Source organism: Homo sapiens, chromosome 1 (assembly GCF_000001405.40).
Source record: "Homo sapiens chromosome 1, GRCh38.p14 Primary Assembly".
Classification (NCBI taxonomy): Eukaryota; Metazoa; Chordata; class Mammalia; order Primates; family Hominidae; genus Homo; species Homo sapiens.
In genome coordinates this window covers 209,417,216-209,435,537 of record NC_000001.11, presented here as the reverse complement: position 1 = coordinate 209,435,537, position 18,322 = coordinate 209,417,216, and the positions used below count along the sequence as shown (strand labels likewise).

At 46.5% G+C, this 18,322-nt stretch overlaps 1 long non-coding RNA gene and 1 other non-coding gene across 6 annotated transcripts, besides 4 other annotated features; both read right to left on the bottom strand.

Annotated features, from left to right (window-relative positions):
- Nucleotides 171-768: an enhancer, noted in NCBI's record as "H3K27ac-H3K4me1 hESC enhancer chr1:209608115-209608712 (GRCh37/hg19 assembly coordinates)". NCBI's record gives its function as "activates a minimal SCP1, AML or CMV promoter by ChIP-STARR-seq in primed H9 embryonic stem cells {active_cell/tissue: H9 hESC(primed)}" and the evidence as "EXISTENCE:reporter gene assay evidence [ECO:0000049][PMID:30033119]".
- Nucleotides 1,367-1,966: an enhancer, noted in NCBI's record as "OCT4-NANOG-H3K27ac-H3K4me1 hESC enhancer chr1:209606917-209607516 (GRCh37/hg19 assembly coordinates)". NCBI's record gives its function as "activates a minimal SCP1, AML or CMV promoter by ChIP-STARR-seq in primed H9 embryonic stem cells {active_cell/tissue: H9 hESC(primed)}" and the evidence as "EXISTENCE:reporter gene assay evidence [ECO:0000049][PMID:30033119]".
- Nucleotides 1,967-2,564: an enhancer, noted in NCBI's record as "OCT4-NANOG-H3K27ac hESC enhancer chr1:209606319-209606916 (GRCh37/hg19 assembly coordinates)". NCBI's record gives its function as "activates a minimal SCP1, AML or CMV promoter by ChIP-STARR-seq in naive and primed H9 embryonic stem cells {active_cell/tissue: H9 hESC(naive and primed)}" and the evidence as "EXISTENCE:reporter gene assay evidence [ECO:0000049][PMID:30033119]".
- Nucleotides 2,989-6,718, bottom strand: MIR205HG (MIR205 host gene). Of its 5 annotated transcripts, NR_145434.1 has the most exons (5): nucleotides 6,450-6,718; nucleotides 6,130-6,357; nucleotides 5,062-5,113; nucleotides 3,713-3,795; nucleotides 2,989-3,334 (listed from the first exon to the last, which is right to left on the bottom strand). It is a non-coding gene; the product is annotated as an MIR205 host gene (long non-coding RNA). The 5 variants fall into 5 exon arrangements; NR_145437.1 differs by lacking the exon at nucleotides 3,713-3,795; NR_145435.1 differs by lacking the exon at nucleotides 5,062-5,113.
- Nucleotides 3,296-3,405, bottom strand: MIR205 (microRNA 205). Its single transcript, NR_029622.1, has one exon. It is a non-coding gene; the product is annotated as a microRNA 205 (primary transcript).
- Nucleotides 6,797-7,720: an enhancer, noted in NCBI's record as "NANOG-H3K27ac-H3K4me1 hESC enhancer chr1:209601163-209602086 (GRCh37/hg19 assembly coordinates)". NCBI's record gives its function as "activates a minimal SCP1, AML or CMV promoter by ChIP-STARR-seq in naive H9 embryonic stem cells {active_cell/tissue: H9 hESC(naive)}" and the evidence as "EXISTENCE:reporter gene assay evidence [ECO:0000049][PMID:30033119]".

Here is an 18,322-nt window from a genome sequence, read left to right as displayed (position 1 = left end):
GACCCTGACAGCCTCCCTTCCCTCCTCGGCCTCTCCTTTTTCTTCCAGGGGCTGAGTGAAAAAGAGACAAGAAAGAGACTGCCCCTTCTGCCTTGTAAGTTTCCTCAAATATCCCCTGAATCAAGGGAGTACCAGCATGTGACTGTGGCACTAACTAGCCCTCTTGCCCACATTAACCTTATTTGTCCAGATTACTAGTGTTACTGTGGTAGAAATATTTCCTCTCTGCTCTTAGGTAAGACTGTCATTTGCTTCTCTTGCAGTGGGGAGTAAGGGAATTTGGATCCACTGACAAAAATTTAGTAAGTGGGGCATTTTAAATTTCAAAGTAAATCTGTCTCCCTTTGCAGTTCGTTGGCTCCTTGCCTGTCATCAGTACTTGCCTTTTTTTCCTCCCACTTTTCTTTTGGAGGATCACATACAAGTTGGGGAGGCTGCTCCAAAGCCACATGGTCTCTCAGATATTGCCAGCTGTACTGGGACTCTCTGGAGTCCCTTGTCCATCACCACAGGTCACCCCAGCAGAACCTGGGCATCTACCATAGACCTGAGGTGTCCAAATTGGGGCAGTGCTCCAAGCGGTCTGCAAACTGGTGCCCTGATTATAGGTTATTCTGTGATTGAAGTTTCACCTAGAGATCGGCTGAGAATGTGAATGGGATGTCTGCATTTAGCATCAGGTTTTGGAGCTTTGATGTGGGCTATTTCCTCCCGAAGGGCCTTGATAACAAAGACCACAGCACAGTCCTGTGGGAGTTTCTAGCTTCTGTACCCACTGCCTCATTATATGCATGGCTTTTAATATTTGGAGAGCCTTTGCCAATACACATTTTCTCGTGTACTGGGAAACTGGAGCCCGGATGCGATATATTATTGATAGGATTGTAATTTACTCCTCTTGGGTTGTATCTACAGTGTATACCATTAGCACAAAATATTAAATTACCAGTGGTTGTATATATTTGTCTATCCAGGTTTGGCTCAATGATATTTGCCTTTTGCCTCAATAAAAGATTGTGAATAATGAAAGCAGGGTAATATTATTTTGTTGTTGTTGTTGTTGCAAGGGAATTTTGATGAAACCATTTTCTCTGTGTTGTGTTTTTGGCGAGTCATGCTTTGCAATGAAGACATGAGACATAAAAGAGTGGGGGTTGGACATAGAAGATGGATGAGCAGCTTGCTCCAGCTCTGGGCACACACTGGCTTCCCTGGCAAGCTGCTCTGGGCCAGGCTTGGGGCTTTCTTTTTCTGCAAGAGGGAATAAGCAATCTGTGCTGCATTGGTGGGAGGAAGTGGGCAGTTCAGACCTTGGTGCCAGAAATACCAAGCCCTGTGCCTCTCTTGTGAAGATAGCATTTGCATGGGACTTTGGGTGTGGGGGAACCCAACAGCACATCAGGTAGAACCTTTTGTAGTCACAGCATTGTGCCCTGGCTAGTGTTTGACAGTCTACCCTCTGGTCACCATTGTTGGCCATTTTGGTTCCTGCCTCCACCTGGGCCAGGTGGCACATAAATACACAAGCACTTATCTCCTATAAAAAGATTCCAGGTCATAGGGCTCAAACCAAGCTGCAAATAAAAGTGCCACATCGTGTCTGTCGTGTGCTTTTTGTTCTGATCTCAGGGCTTGTTTCAGACCTTGAATGGGAGGTGTTTGCTGGTTAACTAGGAGTTTGCTGGACAAACAGCACCCCACAGTTGGATTTGCTACGCAATTTTTATGAGTAAACATGTTTTTAAAAAATGCCTGTGGCTTGGCTTCTTCATCCTTTTGTTGCCTGTGGGTCTTGGAATGAAGGGGTGGGGGTGACAGAAACTAGGTTTTAAATCTGTATTAACTTGACACAGAAAAATATTTTGGAGAAAGGTTTATTCCTTTTAGTTCCTGCTGGCAATCTGGGACCCTCAGGGGTCAAAAACCAGGGAAGGGTTGGGGGAAGGTGAAGAGACCTATCCCCCTCAGAGGTCACTGGCTGGGGGGCAGGGCTTGGCCATTCAAGTGATCGGTATCCATCTGCAAAGCTGGAATCTCCTTTAGAGTGAGCTCCTAAGAAAAACACCACTCAGCCAAGGAGAGCTATTGTATTTTGCTGCCTGGGGCACATTCTGGAGGTGAAAACCGGTTTTTCTGAAGACTTGTCAGGGCCAGGCTTTGTTCAGAATCTGCCAATTTAGCCAGACTGGCTCCTTAAAGGAGACCCCTTTACCTGAGGCAGGGGCCAATTATAAAAAAGGCTTGTGGATGGCATTCCCTTCATAACTGGGTTGGACTTCCTTCAGACTTAGGAACTTTCTCTTGTTCCACACCTTCTCCTTCCTTAAAAAGGAGAAACATGGAGTAACACACACACACACACACACACACACACACACACACACGCACACCCAATCACACTGAATTGTAAAGAGAATGAAATCAGTGCTAAATCTATCAAAGCGTATCATAGACCCTGACAGCTGAGAGGTATTATTTGCTTTTTTCCTCCCAGATTTCTACCGAGCCTGGTGTTTTAAGCTATGTCTTGGGGAGAAGAGACCCATAGAAAGGCAATTACAATTGGTGAATGATTAATGTTGGATCTGACATTTTTATGTGTCAAATATGTTTAACTGCATTAACCTTTGCAGAATCTACACCCATACTATGAGATATATCTTGTATAGCATCGGAAATATCTGCAATCTGCCTTCACTTAAATTTTATTTACATTTACTTTATTACAATATAAATAGGTTTAAAAAATCTTTAATAGAGTGTTTTTACCCCATTCTGCAAGTTCTGCTTGCTCTGTGGGGAGTCTAAGGGCAGCAGGGTTCCTTGCTGATTGCAAATAGTGTCCCAGCCACCTGCCTGGGGACCCTAAAGAGAGAGGAAGCCAGTGTCAATTTTTCAAGTTCATGTCTCAGTTTTAGCCTAAAGGGGAGGTGGCTTAGAAGGCCGGGAGTTGGCATCCGATGGTATAAAACATAGAGGCAGAGAGGCTTTTCAGTAGACAAGCAACTTTTAGTTTTTACAAGTTACAGAAAACGCAAATTTTCATAGCATCAATTTTAGAAAAGAAAGATTAAGGTTCCCATCTGCGGTGCTTTTTCCAATCTGCCCATCACCCGTCCCTCTGAAGAAGCACGCACACTCCAGATGTCTCCTTCATTGATCACATTTCTCTCTGGCTGTCTCTATTCCTAAGTCAGAGTTACTCTTGCTGCTGCTGCTGCTGCTGCTGCTGCTGCTGCTGCTGCTACGGTGGTGGCGGCGGCGGTGGTGGCGGTGGCTGCCGAGGCCTCATGGTTGTCAGCTCCATGCCTCCTGAACTTCACTCCACTGAAATCTGGTTGGGTATGAGACAGACTCCGGTGGAATGAAGGACAAGAGAAGCACATGGATTGTCTGAGGATCTTTTTCTCAGAGGGTGGGGATGCATGTCAACCTCAGCCTGTAGACACTGCATTACCTGGCCAAAGGCCTTTGGCATCCCGGAATCACACATTTGGGAGATGTCAAGGACCTGAATACTCCTACCCCTCCCATAGGATCACATCCTCCAAGGAGGCTGCAGAGAGCTAGTTCAACACGTCCTTGCACCTGCTGCACAGACAGACAGTGCTGAGTTGGGGAGGTGGGTCTGTGGGGCCAGGGACTCTTGACTGTTTCTCGTTTTCAAAACAGCCACCCAGATAAGTCCATGTGGAACCTCCTCTGTGTTTACCTAGTTGGGATGTCGGTCACCCTCTCCCTTTGTCTAGGTCCCACTGTGTGTGCCATAACTGAGCTCGGTGTGGTTGGTCCTTTCTAGAGGAAACAAAGAAAAAGCAGGTGTTCTGCAATTGCTTTAGAAAAATCCAGCTACTCTGAGCTTGCTTACCAAGGCCTTGGAATGCAGGGGCATGGGCATTCCTCTCCACAAGGCACTGTCCAAAGAGCACGAAGAGCACTTTGCAACCCCGTTTGCCAATGTGAAATCCAGAAGAGATAGGTGAGGAGCTCAGGAAAAACCACAACTCCTGGCTGGAGCCAGGCCCATTCATGGGGGTGGGTGGACAGAGGAGGGTAAGACTCCTTGTTCTCACTCCTAAAGACTTATCTAGGAAGGACAGCCTCCAATGGCCCCACATCCTCCCCAAGATGTGCCTGGAAAATGATTCAACTATTTCTTTGTTGGTCATGAGGATGGAGGATTTAGGGAGGAAGAAAGCAAGCTAACCTGGCTTTCATAGACTGAGTCAAATAGGAAGGACGCAAAGTATCTAAGAGTTTTCTGCTCTGTCTTAAAAGAAATGCCCATCAACCCTTTGCGTGCTGTTGCTGCTCTGGCCTCTTCCTTGTTGTGTTCAGACATGCCCATGGCTCAGTGCAAGCCCCATAAAAGGCTGTTCTCAGCACCAACATGCAGGCTGGATGGGTTGGGGCAGATGCACCTTGTTGTTTGAAATACTTTCTTCCTGGGGCTTGTTCTGACCCGAAGCAGGGAGGCAGTTTCTCGTATGTGGCTCCTCCCCACGCATCTAGCCTTCTGGGCATTGGGTCTCTCTGAAAAAGGCCCTTAAGCAAGGGCTTGAGGTTTCTAGCTAGTGCTGAGAAGGAGTCACACTCTCCTTGGTCTGAATGTAAAGACTCTTTGCCAGGGTGAACACGGGGCTTGTTGGCAGGCAGAGATCTGGGTAGTGAGGGGAAGAAGACTGGTTCATCTTCTCCTGCTCTGCCTTCTTGATAAACACTCACAGTTCTCAATAATGAGAGGAAAATGCACCCTGCTTGTGAATTATCTGGACCAGATCCTCCTCCTGCACCGCCTTTGACCCATTCCCAGTCAAAGGGAAGAAAGAGGCCAGTCTGTTGGCTGTAATAAATAAATGATGGCCTGGGATGGTAGGAGGAAATGATGCCAGGAAGGCAAGATTCTTTGCCTTCTCTTTAGATTTCTGCTTAACTCCAAGAGCAAAAGGGGCAGTCAATTCTTCTCCCTCCAGACCCTCGGCACCCCGCTCTTCCCCTCCCAACATGTACAGTCCACTAGATTATTAAAGTCCTCACTCTGGAGTGTGCAGAGAGCCTCACCCTCATGTGGGGTCCGTACCCTCCAAGATGGGTACTTGAGAGATGACAGTGTCTGCAAAAAGCAAATGGGAGGTGGCATTAATGTCAGAGAGCCCCAGAAAGGTGAGTTCTTTCCTTATCACTCTCCCCTTGCTTTACAGACCTGTAGCTGCTACAGGCAGAGACAAAAAACCATGAGTCACAACCTGTATCAGGAGACTTGACCTGCTCTGGACTCCTTGTTCAAGATTCTTCTGCCCACTATGCCTTTGCCAACTGAATCCCCCAGTGGCCTTCACCATGGTTACATGGGTCTAGAGCCAAGCACATGCACGATCAGAGAACAAACCATGCATGGGCTCGCTACAGGGTAAGTCCATCCAGTGACCACTTTCTTCCCCCCAGCTGCCCTCAGGATTACGTCCCAAGTGTCTTCATAACATTAAAACCAACTTGAACATGAGACTCAAAGAATGAAACCACGTCCTAAATTTTCCAGTACAGGTGCACCCTGCACCCCAGGACTGAAAAACCAGCCAAATCTCTGTTCTTCTAGTTGAGTAAATCTCCACAAAACCAGACAGAGCTACAATCTTGGTGCTTAAACTGCTCAGCACCCACCTTATCACACCAATTCCTATTATCAGCAGAATTTACTGCCTGGGATCCCTGGAAATCCTTGAGAAAACACCAAAGTGGCTGAGGATTGGTTTAAAATGCAGCAGGTTCAGCTATTTTAGCCTTGGAGGAAGTTGATAATTGACTTGCAGTGAATATGGCATTTTCCAGTCTCCTCTTCCTGCCCAATGAGCCCCCTGATCTAGCCACTCATCTTTGTTTTTCCAAAGTTCCCCAAATCCACAGATTTCAGACTCACCTTTAAGTACGAGTACCTGTGCCTTGAGACATCAGGACCTAGCTTTGAGTTTGCTTCAAAATAAGAATTTTTTTTTTTTGTCATAAGATAATGCAGAACAGAGAGATGGCTACAGCCATGCAGATGAGAAGAAGAAAAGAAATTTCAAATCTTGGATGTTTCTTTTGCCCCTAAGGCTTGAGGACAGGGAACAAAAAATGAGAAACACTTACCCTATATAAAGCACCCAGTTCAGCAGGCCTGTGCGGAACAGAAATGACTCCTGAGGAAAGGTGGGGGCCGGTCCTGAATAGTTGATTTCTCTCTTTAATGAAAAAGAACATGAGGCCGGATGCGGTGGCTCACGCCTGTGATCCCAACACTTTGGGAGGCCGAGGCAGGTGGATTGCTTAAGCTCAGGAGTTCAAGACCAGTCTGGGCAACATGGTGAAACCCCGCCTCTACAAAAAAATACAAAAAATTAGTCAGGCGTGGTGGTGTGCGCTTGTAGTCCCAGCTACTTGAGGGGCTGAGGCAGGAGAATCGCTTGAACCTGGGAGGTTGAGGCTGCAGTGAGCCCAAGATTGAGCCACTGCACTCCTGCCCGGGCGACAAAGTGAGACCCTGTCAGAAAAAAAAAAAAAGTAAGCAGAGGAAAGTGGAATTGAAGGAGAGGGAGTAAAGGTAGCTGGAAAAGAGAGAGTTTGGAGTATGGTTGAGAATTGAGCTGAATTTTTAGAATAGAGATTAGTAACAGACAATAAAAGAGAAACTGGTTTTTCCAAGTCAAGGGTGAGCAAGAGGGACTCAGCCCATTTCAAGGAGGTGGTACTAGTTTCACTCTTTATTTATGCACCTCTCAGCAAAGCTTCAGGTTACCTGCTGAACTCAACCAATGGAGAAAGGGCCTGGCAGCTGGTCCCACCTCTCAGAACCCACACCCCTGGGGGACCATGAATGGAGAGGTCTTTCTGCAGGCTACCCGTACTTTCTCATTGTTGTGTGAACACCAGAAAAGGGAAGTGAGGTCTTTGTCATCCCAGAGTTGGAGAGACACTGCAGGTTATCTGAGCCTTGCACCTGAAGCCTTAGTCCTCCCAGAGACCTACCTAATCGGGGAGAGGGGAATGCTAAGATTTTATCTTGTCCTAAGGAAGCTGAGTGTTTGTGTGTGTGTGTGTGTGTGTGCGCGCGTGTGTGTGCGCGCTTGCTTGCTTGAGCTTTTAGCCTGACCTGAGTTGCTGTCTCTACACAATGCACTTCGGGAATCCAGCAGAGATAGGCCAGTCCATCCAGGCAGAGCTGTAGAAAGAGGCCGGAGGGTCACAGTCGAGGCCCAGCCAGAGGCTTATCCTGGCATTTAGTACAGAGTAAGTCTGCTGCTCCCCTTGTGAGAAGCAAGTGTTTCTTTTATAATCCGAAAGGCTTTGTGACCTGCTTCCCTTTCATGTCTGGGGGTGGGGAAAAGACCACACTGCGAGGGGAAATTAAGGAAAGAGAAGGCAAGCTCATTAGTAACTTTAAAGAGGGCGGTCTATAAACTTGATTATTTTACCCCACCCCCGCTTCCATGCGCAACTTGGGCTCCGCCTCCTGCCCCTCCCCTATCTCTCGGCCCATCTTGCCAGCTTCCCCCTCCCTCGTTCCCCCTTCCAAGTGCACACCTGGAGGGCAAGGGAAGTTGAAGTCTCCTCAAATGTGCCACATTTCACCCAGGATCCTGGCCTGCTTTCCATTTGTTCTCCAGGTAAATCTAGTGTGCAGCGAAGGCAGATTCCTCTATTCTCCAGCGGAAGGGAGGGAACTGAAGAATCCAATCTATAGGACCTCTTAGTGCAGTCCTGTCCCACAGCCCTTCATGGAACTGAATCATGCCTGCCCAAAATCTCCCTAGAAATCAGCTAATCTAAACTTCTTACCGCATAGACTGGGGAACAGAAGTTTTGAAAGGTGAATTTCTGTCTTGCACAGCCAGTGCAGAGTCAAGATTCTAATCTACCTGGATCTCCCAAACCCCATTTAAAAGCCCTTTAAAACAAACCCTACACGTTGTTTTCCCCGGTTCTGGCGGACCTGAAGCTTGTCTGAACTATTCTGGATTCTTCCTGGGAGAAGAAAAGCCTCCACTGGTGAAGAAGAAAAACCAATACAGACCAATAGGAGGAGGGCAGGGAGATCTTCCACGTGATAGCTTCCTTAAGCACCGGACTCCTCCCCTAAACCGTGGAGCTCATGGCTTCCCTGCTGACTGGACCCAGTTTGCCTACACTGAGCCTCAGCTCTCCCATTTCCCAAAAAGTAATGCAGGCAGAGAAGCGAATTGTTCCTGGCCACAGTGATACACCCACATTGTGTGCTGAAGACTCTGGGCCCCCTTCTGACCTTTCCCTGCTCCCTCTCTCCCTCTTCCTTCCAGAATAGCATTCATTCATTCATTCACTTACTCACTCTCCCCATCACGTATCATTCCATGAGCATCGACTCTGTGCCAGGTGAGTGAGAGGCTGCGTTTACCCCCTAGGAGCTCCCAGCCTAGATGGACATCTACAAGAAGAGGCAAAAACATAGGCCAATGAGGAAAAACATGATGAATATCCCCCACAAAGGGAACTGCCGCATTTGTCTGTGAGATTCAGGGAAGGCTCTACAGACAGAGTGACATATTGGAACTGAATCTGAAAAAATGATGGCGGGCTGAGTGTGATGAAGACCTGCGAAAATTCAGGCCTTGAGGGAGGAGCTCTCACATGTTCAGAGCAGCCTGGGGTGCCGGGGACTGGAGAGCGCAGCCATCTTGTGATGGGCCTGTGGATTTCATTCACAGGTCAGGAAGCTCCGGAAGTCTCGAGACAGGGAATGAATGGACCAGAACTGTTTTTCAGAAGCCAGTTAGGACTGGAGGCAGAGCAACTGACTGCTGAGGAATATGACTGCCCCCAAAATATAGGGGAGAGGAGGGTAAGGAGGAGTGCCTAGGGCAGACGATATCAATAGTCCTGCTGGTCATATTCTGTCCCCTTGAGGGTTCATCTTTGACCTCTAAATTTGTTCAGAAAAATGGGATAAACCTATAGATTTATTGATTCTATATCCATCCAATACAGTAAAGAAAGACGACCTGCCCAAAATTATTATTATATTTTCTTCCCTTCAACTTCAGTCACCACAGCCCAGGAGGATGCTCTGTGGACTGACTGGACACTGGTTGGTGTGGAAGGTCTAGAGGGTGGGGGAAGCATATCTGGGTGGCTCTGCTGGAAGTTTCTTCTTCCAGCCCCTCAGCCTGGCTCTTTGTTCCAGAGTCAGCTTGTGAGGCAAAAGCCTTGATGTCCCTCTTCCCCTAGGTTTCTAGTTCCGTGTCTCTGAGAGGCATTCCGCAGAGTCATCCAGGGTGGTGCTGTGCTTGCCTGAGTGTGTCTGGGGTACAGGAGATGGAGATGGGGAGTGGAACAGCGTAGTGTGGTTGGAAGGGGAGGATACAGGGCTTCCTTCCGTCTCCACTGAAGAGTAGCCATGGTAACCGTGGTTTACTCACTTTGGCTGATCTTGGGCCTCACCTTTTGTTTTCATGCACTGTATGCCCCCTTGATCCTCATTTCTCCTCCCCCTCAACTACCCCAGCCAGAGTTCCTCTACTGTTAGAAGTTCTTGGTCCTCACATGCATTTCTGGCTCCTGAAAAGACTCTGCCATTCTCTCTGCTCAAATTTCCAGCCCCAAAACTAACTGCCACATCTTCAGTTTTTGAAGAAAAAGATAAAAGACCTGAAATTCTCCAAAGTGTTTTAACACGTGGTTAGCATTAGAGTTAGGTATGGGTCTCTCTGACTAAATTCTGCTTATAAGCTCATCTAACTTTGCAGCTTCCCCTCCATGCCTAGCACTGTGCCTGAGGTCTTCAATAAAGGTCTGTTGAATCAACCGCGGTTATTTCTATAGGGGAAGAACACCAAAAGATAAGCTACCTAGGTTCCACTGCACAACATTTGGAGTGGACTGGACTCTTGGGGGTGAAACAGTAAGGACAGTGTGTTGTAGGGAAGCAGTGTGTTCCCAGGAAGCTGCTGGGGACATCAGGGTCCATGACCATAATGGGGATGGCCCTTGGGGTGCCTGTAGACTGGAACTTCATCACCAGCCTTCTCCTGATCCAGGTTTACAGCTTTGTTACATGTATTGAGGAGCTGGGAGGACCTCTCCCTGAGACATTTCTTGGTTAGGATCCAGAACTGGGAAGTATGCATGCTACTCTTTCAGCCACTGGTCAGGGTCTACACAAATGTAGAGTGGGGGAAGATGTGATTTGACAGCACTTATAAATAGAAAAAAAAAACGGCCGGGTGTGGTGGTTCACTCCTGTAATCCCAGCACTTTGGGAGGTCCAGGTGGGTGGATCAAGAGGTCAGGAGTTCAACACCAGTCTGACCAAGATGGTGAAACCCCGTCTCTACTTAAAATACAAAAAATTAGCCGGGTGTGGTGGCGGGTGCCTGTAATCCCAGCTATTCAGAAGGCTGATGCAGAGAATTGCTTGAACCCGGGAGGCAGAGGTTGCAGTGAGCTGAGATTGCACCACTGTACTCCAGCCTGGGTGACAGAGCAAGACCCCACCTCAAAAAGAAGAAAAAAACCTTAGGATGTGAGCTGATGGTAAGTTTCGTGGGACTCAGTGGTGTGATATGGCTACCAAAAGAGCACATTCTTTCTTTGATTGCATCATTAGAAATATGAAACAGAAAATAAAGGAGATGGGAGATAATAGTTTTACTCTACTCTTCACTGATCATATTATACCTGGTTATTACATTGATTTGTGGGCTCCACATTTTAAGAGGGGTCAATACAAACCTGAAGGAGAAAAAAAAAAGTGAGCACAGAGGACACAGGCAGGCAACAACAACAGCAGAAACTGTGATGATTCTGGAGTCAATACAGTCTGAAAGAGGCAAAATCTCCACCCAAGGAGTAAGTGGAAGGACCAGGCAGCTTATCACCTCCTACTCCCAGACCTTGCACACACCCAGGTAGTGCAGAACACCAATCTGAACAAGTGGGGCCAAAGGCCTAAACCCAAGTTCATAAAGCAAACCCAGGCCCCTTCCTCCCACCTTGAATGCACCTCTGCTTCCACTTCATTGCATTTCTTCCGTTGATTCACTCAGTGTAAGTGTTGTCCAGCCAGAAGTTGAGTTTGGTGTGGTCATCATTAGCCAGGTCTCTGCAGATTGGCTGTTTCCTGAAGCCACACCCCGACCCTGCACATAACATGTGTGATCTGTGCGTACCTCTGTAGCACATCGTATTGTAGTTACTGAGTTTTTGTTTTTCTCTTTTACTAGAGTGTAAGCTTTTTAAAAGAAAAGAAAGCCCGATATTCCTAGTACCTAGCATGTAATAGGTGCTCAAAAACCATTTGTTGGCTGGGTGAAGATGAAGACAGGCCTGAATGGGAGATGTGAGCCTCTGTTGATGAGGAGACTTGAGGTCTGGGTTTAATACTCCTCCCCTTCACTCTCCTGGTTCCTCTAGACGCCAATGTGGATCAGTACCTGTCTCAGATCTTCAGGAGCTATCCCTTGATGTTTATTTACTCTAGGGGATCTGATAGATCTGACAGCTCACTGCCCACTGCTGTATTTCTGGGGTGGGGCTGGAGGCCCCTCATTTTCATTTTCTGAGATGGGCTTATTCTCTGGAGAGTGTAGAGAGAGTGATGCAAGTTGAAGCCTGCCGTTTACATTCCCCTCTCCCTGGCCCCTTCCACCCCCACACCTCCCCCTCACCCAGGCCTAACCTAGTCCTTCAAGTGAGGAAAAAACCCCAGGGCCTACCTTTCTCCTCCCCCTGCTGAAGATAGAAAGGGGAGCCCAGGGGACATTGTAGCACTTGAAAGCAGTCATTTTGTCTTTAGCTCTGCTACTCTGGCCATTCCACGCATTTATCAGCGCCTATAAAGCACCACAACAATTTCTCCAACTTGCCTGCAAGCCTTCTGGGATCAGGGGACTTCTGTCTCCACTGAGAATGCTTGTTTGGGTTCTAATTTTTCTAAATTAACATCCGAGTACCATCTTAGGAAAGCAGAGGGTTTGGTTGGGGGAGAATTCTTAATAGAAGAAGCTTTGATAAGTCGAAACAGTTCATGTTATTAAACACTCCAGAGGGAGATCCAGAAGCACTGAACTGGGGGTAGTTTGCACCTTCAGTCCTTAACTCGTGGCTGTCTTGATTTGGGGAATTAGATTAGGAAAATTTGGAAAATTACAGCCTGCGGCAACTGCAGAAGAGAGACAGGTAGCGTTTGTTAATTTGCATCTTCACCTAATATTTATTGAGTGCTTATTATGTGCCAGGTATTCTACCAGGTGCTGGAGATAATAGAAAACTAAGTCCCTGCCCCTGAACACAAACACTTTCCAGATTTTCCAGTGGGTGTGGGGAGGGAGGCAGCTAGGTGACAGGTGCTGCAATAGGAAGGGGCAAGTGCAATAGTCATCCCCCCTGCCCCATGAGAGGCTCTGCAGGAGCCCATAAGGAGGAGCCCTATAGAGAGGAGCCCTATAGATCAGGACAGCTTCATGGAGGAGGTGACACCTAGTTGAACTATAAAATGTTAGAGGAAATGTGCCAACTGGAGAAAGGAGCAAATTCGATGTGGGGACTTCTTTGGGATAGTAGGTCTGAGTTGGAATGAGCAGGGTTGACTTCTTCCTAAGTAAAAGTTTTAAAAAATGCAAGCTCCACTCTGGATCACTGGGCAAATACTGATTTACCACCTGGGGGGCCTGGAGTGAAGGATGGAAAGGGGATTGAAGGAGCCCACACTGCCTCTGAGGAAAAAATCTAAGCCAAACTCTTCTTCATCATCTTTGCAAGATGGATCTATGCAAGTAATCACGTTTGGCAATCTCTGTTGGCTGCTTCACCAAGTTTTTTTGTATGTTTCATGAGATACCAGTTAGAGTTTGCTAAATAAAGAGGGAAGATTGGCAGGAGAGGGGCAAGTTTTAAAGGGGAAAAAATGACCACTGAGCTTGTAGAGGCAGGCAGACTGTGAGGCCACCAGGCTGCTTAGCTCAGTACCAGGGAAAGCTGGTGTGTGTGTGTGTTTGCACATGCACACATGTGTGCACGCAGCTAGTTTCAAGTTAATTACAATGCCAGAGTATTTCAGCCTGGCTTGCCTAATAGTCACACAAGGGAGATTATGTGGGCCAAATGGATGAGGTAGGAAGAAGGGGAGAGTTGGGTAGTTGCAAAACTTTTATATGAAAGGTTCCTAACAAACACTTGGTAAGCTGCTGGAGGGGAAACAAACCAAGTTTGGGCCTCTCTTCTCATACCTGCAACCCTTAGACAAAGCAATTCGAAACCTAGATCTTCAGTTGGAGAATCATTTTGGGGCTCACAGTGCAGGTCTCTGCTCTCAGAACGTGCTGACAGGTGCCAGCTCATCCATTCTGCTGGAGTCCTGGAGAAGTGAGCTTTGGTGCTGAGTTCAGCAGTTCTGAGCAATACAGCAATAAAGCAGTCACAGAGCTCTGTCGCTGCAGCAGAATGGGATAATCCTACAATTTAATAAGTAGGAATATGCAGCAGGACTTAGGCAAATTGTTTGTAGGTGATGAGATTGTCATCCCCTCCTGGGCCGGGAGAGAAACATGTGAGGAGTTTGGGGTTTGAGAGCTGGGAAAGAAGAGGACCCAGTTTCAGCCTTCACTCTGAGATTTGCTTTTGGAGGACTAGGAGGACCTTTGGCCTAAATCTATTTATTGTCATTTGAAACTTAGAATGGGAGGAGCTAGGGAAGAGATGCTCATCGCTTTTACTGAACTGGAATGAAAAGGGTGTTGGGCAGCGGAACTCTTCTGGGGCTGGGGGTGATGGGGGAGAGAGCAGATTTGGAGACAATAGGATTAGGTTTGAGTCCAGACTCCATTAATTACTAATTATGCAATTTAGTCATCATATGGACTCCAATGCTCTGCTTCCTCCTCTGTCAAAGGGGCATAATTGCAACGCCTGATAACACATGAGGGCATCCCCCAAAAGCTATGAAGAGCTTCACAGTCATCATGAATGTTTATCACAACTGAGATTCCAAAATGGTAAAATGCAGAAGCTTCTGGGTGTTCCTGGTTTCCGGGTTCACTGTTGGGTGCTGAGGACCTGGCTGGAATTCCCCTAGTTTTCCTCAGCCCAATCCGGATGCTGACTGCAGCTAACTAATACCTGCTTGTGAGAGTCAGTTGTTAAAATTCCAGGAAACAGCTTGCCATCTGGTTGTTGAACATGTTGGTAGCTTGAAATCAGCCGTGGTGAGAAAGCTTATACTACGCTACAAAACCAGAGTGTTCCTGAGAGCCAGTTGTTAGGCATTCACCAGCACACCTGACCCAACTTTCCCCCTCCATTGGTTCTCCCTGTTGTGTGAAATGTCCAGGCTTCCCCAGGGCCAGCTGTCAGCCACTTTGCTCCTCAATAATACAGCATCCTGGGGCAGGGGCTGCTGAGGCACCGGCGGGTCTCTGATTCTGGTCCCACAACCACAACTCCAGTCTCACAGGGCTGCCTTCTGTTCCTCAGAGATGCCGTCTAGTGTTTTGTCAATCTATGTTTTGTCATACTCCTGCCTCCATCCAGAACATTCTTCTGAAATGCTACCTAATAGTAAGCCCCTGGCCCCCCTTCCTGGTCTCTGCTCACATGGCTCCATGCAGGCCTCCCGGCCCTGGTGCTGCTCTGTGTGGCAGAAAGATGGGTGCCGCTGTTTCCCTGGCTAGGCTGTGCCTGCCTTCAGAGGTGGGCTGGAGTCCACTAACCATCTCAGTGCTTCTCCTACTATTATTAGGCCAGCATTTTTCTCATATTTTGCTCCTGTAATCCTCACGGCACAGACTTTTTCAAATGAGCAAACAGAGGTTGAATAACTTGTATGAGGTAACATAACCAGTAAGTATTCGAGTCTCCATTTGAAAAAAGAGGTTTTTTGGATTCCCCAGGCTAGGGATTTTACCCCTCCCCTCCCCATTCCATTTTCAGACTCAGCCATTTCTCTCTTTCGTACAGAACCTAGCAAAACAGGCTGCACCACGGCATGGATTTAATACCGCTTAGTGAATTAACTAAAACTTCCCTTCTTTTCAGTCATGTATTTTGTAACAAAAATGAAATGGGGATTAGAGAGGAATTAGAGCATGATATTACTTCTGCAAAATCAACACTGTTCTCAGTGAAAGCCTGAGAATATTTAACCTCAGTAGGCACGATGCTAGGTGTTCTCTTCTGAGTGAAACCTTGAGTTTTTGCAAAGGCAATTGAAAAGGTTTCAGCAGAAGAATAGACATGCCCTTGGACTTTCAGCAAAAGAATATTATTTAACAAAAATTTCAGTTATAACATTGCACACATCAAACCTTTTAAGCTTTAGTAGGCTCTTCTGCTTCTTATTCCTATTATAACCAACAGAAACAATTTACAATCTCCCTCAAATTTGAGGGCCATAGGTCCATGTGAGAATGGAAAAATGGATAAGTAAGTAGGCTCTTTCACAATGAATGAGAGATATTTGTAATAGCTTTTCTTGTAATTTCTGATTTAAAGCTTAAAAAATCTGGACGCCCCCTTCCCACTCACACTCAAGAAAAAAATATTAAAAGTAGGAAATAGTAAGAATGTAGAAATGATAATTTCCTATTTCTCAACAGACCTAGTGCTTAATCCTATTTGGACTTGGAAATACGAGCCCACTCATTTTCTGGCCGGGTTTAAACAAAATAAGAGACATCTCCCTATGCCTGTCTTCTTTAAATCCATAAGTGAGCCAACGCCACTCAGCAGTGAAGGAGCTTTCAGTGGGTTGTCCTCTGATTGAAAATCAAGAGCCACATGTGTCTTCTTTCCCATGAAGGTTCCGCCAGGACAACAGTTGGTGAAATTACAGGGGTACCTCTGGCCAGCGTTTTGAAGAACTGTGGTGTTCCTATTCTTTCCCAACTAAGCTCTGATGTGTGCAGACTCCCTGTAATTATGGTATAATTGGATTTAACTATAGGGGTAGAACTAGTTTTCAACCAAGTCCCCTCAAATAATTTGTTGCTTATTAGAAAAAAAGAGAACTTCTGCTGGCTTTAGTGGAGTGTATGTTTGCCCCCCTCCACCTCACTCCATAAGAGAGAAGAGAATTGCTGGTGTGAGCTCTAGCAATTTAGTGGGGTTGGTTTAATCACAGTGCCCTAGCTCTGAATATTCCAGAAAGTTCATTTTCTCTAAAAAGGAAATCCAGAGAGAAGGTGGTACAGAGTCCCAAAGTGAAATGTCTCGGTCTCTCCCATTCCTATGGTTAGGAGATTATTCTGAGTGTCCAGAGTTTGCAAACTGTGTGCTTGAATCTGGGCATGGGCTTATACTATTTGGCCTGCATGATGTTTAGAGTTTTTGTGACTTAGGTGCCACAGATAAGAACTGGGAGATTTCACATAAAAATCTGGATTTCAGCCTCCCTTCAAAAACGAAAAAGGAAAAAAAAATCTGGCCATCCAGGGCCTGAATTCCTTCATTACTACACTTGCTGGACTTGAATCTCTGTGATACTTTAGAGGGGGCAACTAATTCACAATTTACTTTCCAGTGCTCATCACTCGTTTACTGAAACTTCTTGACTCTGCTGGCATTTGAATTTGTATCTTTGTCTCTCTCTCTCTCTCTCTCTCAATCCCCACCCCGCCCCCGCTCCACCTCTCAGCAATATGAACTCATTTTTTATTGAAGGCAGGGTGATGTAGCACAAAAAGTTAGTCCTTTTGTGTTGAAGAAACATATTTAAACCCTGGCTCCATTGTCCACCAGCTGTGTGACTTTGGATGAGCAACTTAACGTTTTAGATCACTGTCTCCACATCTGGGGCTTACATGATACCATGACATAGGCTGGTGTGAGCCCTGGCATGGTCTGTGGCACATAGTGAATGTCCATTAATGGTTAGTTTCCCATGCTCTTATTCTGCCTTAAATGGAAGCAGACAAATGTTATTAATATCAGTCAGTGTTGTAGACCCCTTACATGGAAAGGCACCTGAGGAGTTTGTTTTATCTACTTTTCTACCTTCAATTTAACTCTCCCACATAGGAGAAATGCGGAGATGTGAATTGACTTGCTCAAGGTCACTCAGTGAATAACAAATAAACCCAGGTGTCCTGGGCTTTCATCCCAGTGCTCATCTCACTCACAACAGCCTGCCAGATCCACACAGACTGTTCCCAGCAGAGTTGAAGATGGAGTGAGCGTGGGATTTCTGTTGCTTAGGGCTTGACAAAAAGGCTGCAGACAATGAGTGGTTTGAATGTCTGAAAAGAAGTATCAGGGAGTGACCTGAATTAATAACACAATTGTTGCAAGATATATCCAAGATGTTAAAAAGCTCTGCCTTGCCATTTCACTCTTTAATGAGGCAGTTTGGACAGGCTTCCCTTCAATATGCCTTGCCTTCCTTTTTGAGGTGACGATGCAATATAAGTGTGCCATCTAGGTCAGGGCCATCATCATCTCTGGCTGATGCATTAAAATAAACTGAAATAAAATGAAACAGCTGGTCAAGGCTAATTTCCTTCCCACCACCAAGATCCTTTATAGGCAATGTGGTCATCAGTTGCACGTCTTCACTTGCAAATGTTTCAAGGGATGTGATGAAGTGGAGGCCAGCCAGGGTATTGGACAATAATTCCATCTTCTCATAAGGTAATTCAAACTTCCTGTGGCCTGGGAATTAGGAGGCCTGGATTCTAGTCCATGCCTACTACCAAGGATCTGTGTGACCCTGGACAAGTCGCTTCACATCTGTGGATCTTGGTTTCCTTGTTTGTCAAGTGGCAGGGCTGGAGAAGACAGACTCTAAGGCTCCTGTCAGCTCTAACAGTCTCAGATGATTCTGAATGTAGAACTTTAGCTCCTCAAGTGGTTGTAGACTTTGGGAAGGACCGAAGTCAGGTTGCTGAAGGACAGAGGAAAATATATAATCTTGAGGTGGGTCAGATTGAAGCCGGGGTCAAGGAACAGGCCCCATAACATGTTGTCCACAACCCCTGGGAATTTTAATGACCTTGAAGAATGCCAGGCTGCTGAGTTGATTTGACTTAGAACAGTGTAGGGTCAAATGATGGTTCCAGGGAGGTGAGTGATGGGGTGGTGAGGCAGGAAGTAGAGAGTTTGGCAATTCCATTCTTAGGTTTTAGGCTGAGCAGAGCATCCTTGGTTGGTGGGTTTCACTCAGACTTACCTACCTCAGAAATATAGATGTGGGAAGACTGTGAGTCAGAGATGAAAGCTCAACAAGACTCATTTTTGCTCTTTAGTTGGGGTCAAACTAGAGAGAGGAATGTGAAGAAGAGATGTGGCGATGGATTTCTCCTTCTTAATTGACTGAGTGGTT